At 53.5% G+C, this 1,455-nt stretch overlaps 1 annotated feature.

Annotated features, from left to right (window-relative positions):
• Positions 335-836: an enhancer, noted in NCBI's record as "H3K4me1 hESC enhancer chr1:11619527-11620028 (GRCh37/hg19 assembly coordinates)". NCBI's record gives its function as "activates a minimal SCP1, AML or CMV promoter by ChIP-STARR-seq in naive H9 embryonic stem cells {active_cell/tissue: H9 hESC(naive)}" and the evidence as "EXISTENCE:reporter gene assay evidence [ECO:0000049][PMID:30033119]".

Genomic DNA, 1,455 nt, shown 5'->3' on the forward strand with positions numbered 1-1,455 from the left:
TGCCCACCATTCAGCTTTCTCCTTTGGTTTAAGAAATTGCCTCTGAAATGTTCCCTGAGAGCTGCAAGCCTTTAGCACTGACTGTGAGCTTCTTGACCACAGGGACTTTGTCTAGCACATAGTAGGTGCTCAATAAATATCGGTCAATGAATAGATTAGTGGCCATGATGCAAGCACGTAGATTAGTTCAGACCATGTTACTAGCTGACACCTGGCAGAGAGTAAGCTTTTGAAGGAACAGGATGCAGAGATTACTCATTCATCCAGTTAGTAATACTAGTTAAACCTTCATGTTAGGACTTGTACTGGGCACTGGGGTGCAGGAGAATAGGGCATGAACTGTCCCTATCCCTGTAGGGTTGAAAGAAGCTGCCTCAGTTTGACAATCAGGACATCCCTTGCCCCCCCTCCCCAGAACGGAACTCATCCAGCCCCCTGGGCTTCTTCCCTAGAGAACCAGCTCTCTCCAGGCCCCCCACTGTACCCCACCCCATCCTATCTCTTCACTAATCCCCCAACCCCCACCCCAGAGGTGCAGCGATAAGCTCAAACAAGGAGGGAAGACCAGAGGTGAGGAGGCGGGAGTCACTGAGAACAGCCATTATCAGTTTAGACAAGTGCCAGGGCCTCCAGCCCCAGCTGGAGCACCGCCCACAGCCCCAGCTACCAATTTACCAGGATGCTAAAGCCTCATCCATGTTTCATTTCAGACACTGGGCTCCCTCAGCTGCCACCGCTCCCTTCTGTGGACCCATTTGACGCCTCTCTGCCTCAAACAAGACCCCAAACCAGAGGGGACACGCAGGCTCTGAGCTGCCAGTCCCTTCACCCAAAAGTGTTCATGCATGTGCACGCACGTGCATGTGCGCGCGCGCGCACACACACACACACACACACACACAAACACACATAACCGCATTCTATGATGAGTTCAGACCCCTCTCTGAGCCCAAGACCCCACCCTCCCCTCCCTCTGTGGCACCAGAAGAGCTACTCACCCCCCTCACCAGGGCGGGGACCCCGCTCTTTCATGCCTCCCGCTTGGGCATCCTCACCTCCCCCAGGGACCTGGTCCTTGTGCCTGACACAAATCTGAGGATGTCAGCAAATCCGCATGGGGTGGGGGATGCCATCTTGAATCCCTGCAGGCAGATCTGGGACAAGATCAGGGAATTTCAAGCATGAAAAGATCTCCTTCAGAGATAAAGGAGTTACTATTCATCGTCTCCTTCCAAAGGTGGAGTGATAGGCATTTGCCTTTTCCCCCTCCTTGCAAAACCAACTGGAAACTAAAGCAGCCGGAGGGCTCGGCGGGACCCTACAATCTATGGAAACTGCAGGATTTTATTAGCTTGGCTGTAGATAGGCAGGGGAACCAGGGCAGCAAACTCAACCGTGGGGAGACAGGTGGGGCAGAGGGTGGGGGGCTCACCCTACTTCTATCTGAGCACACAG

Source organism: Homo sapiens, chromosome 1, assembly GCF_000001405.40.
Source record: "Homo sapiens chromosome 1, GRCh38.p14 Primary Assembly".
NCBI classification, from domain to species: Eukaryota; Metazoa; Chordata; class Mammalia; order Primates; family Hominidae; genus Homo; species Homo sapiens.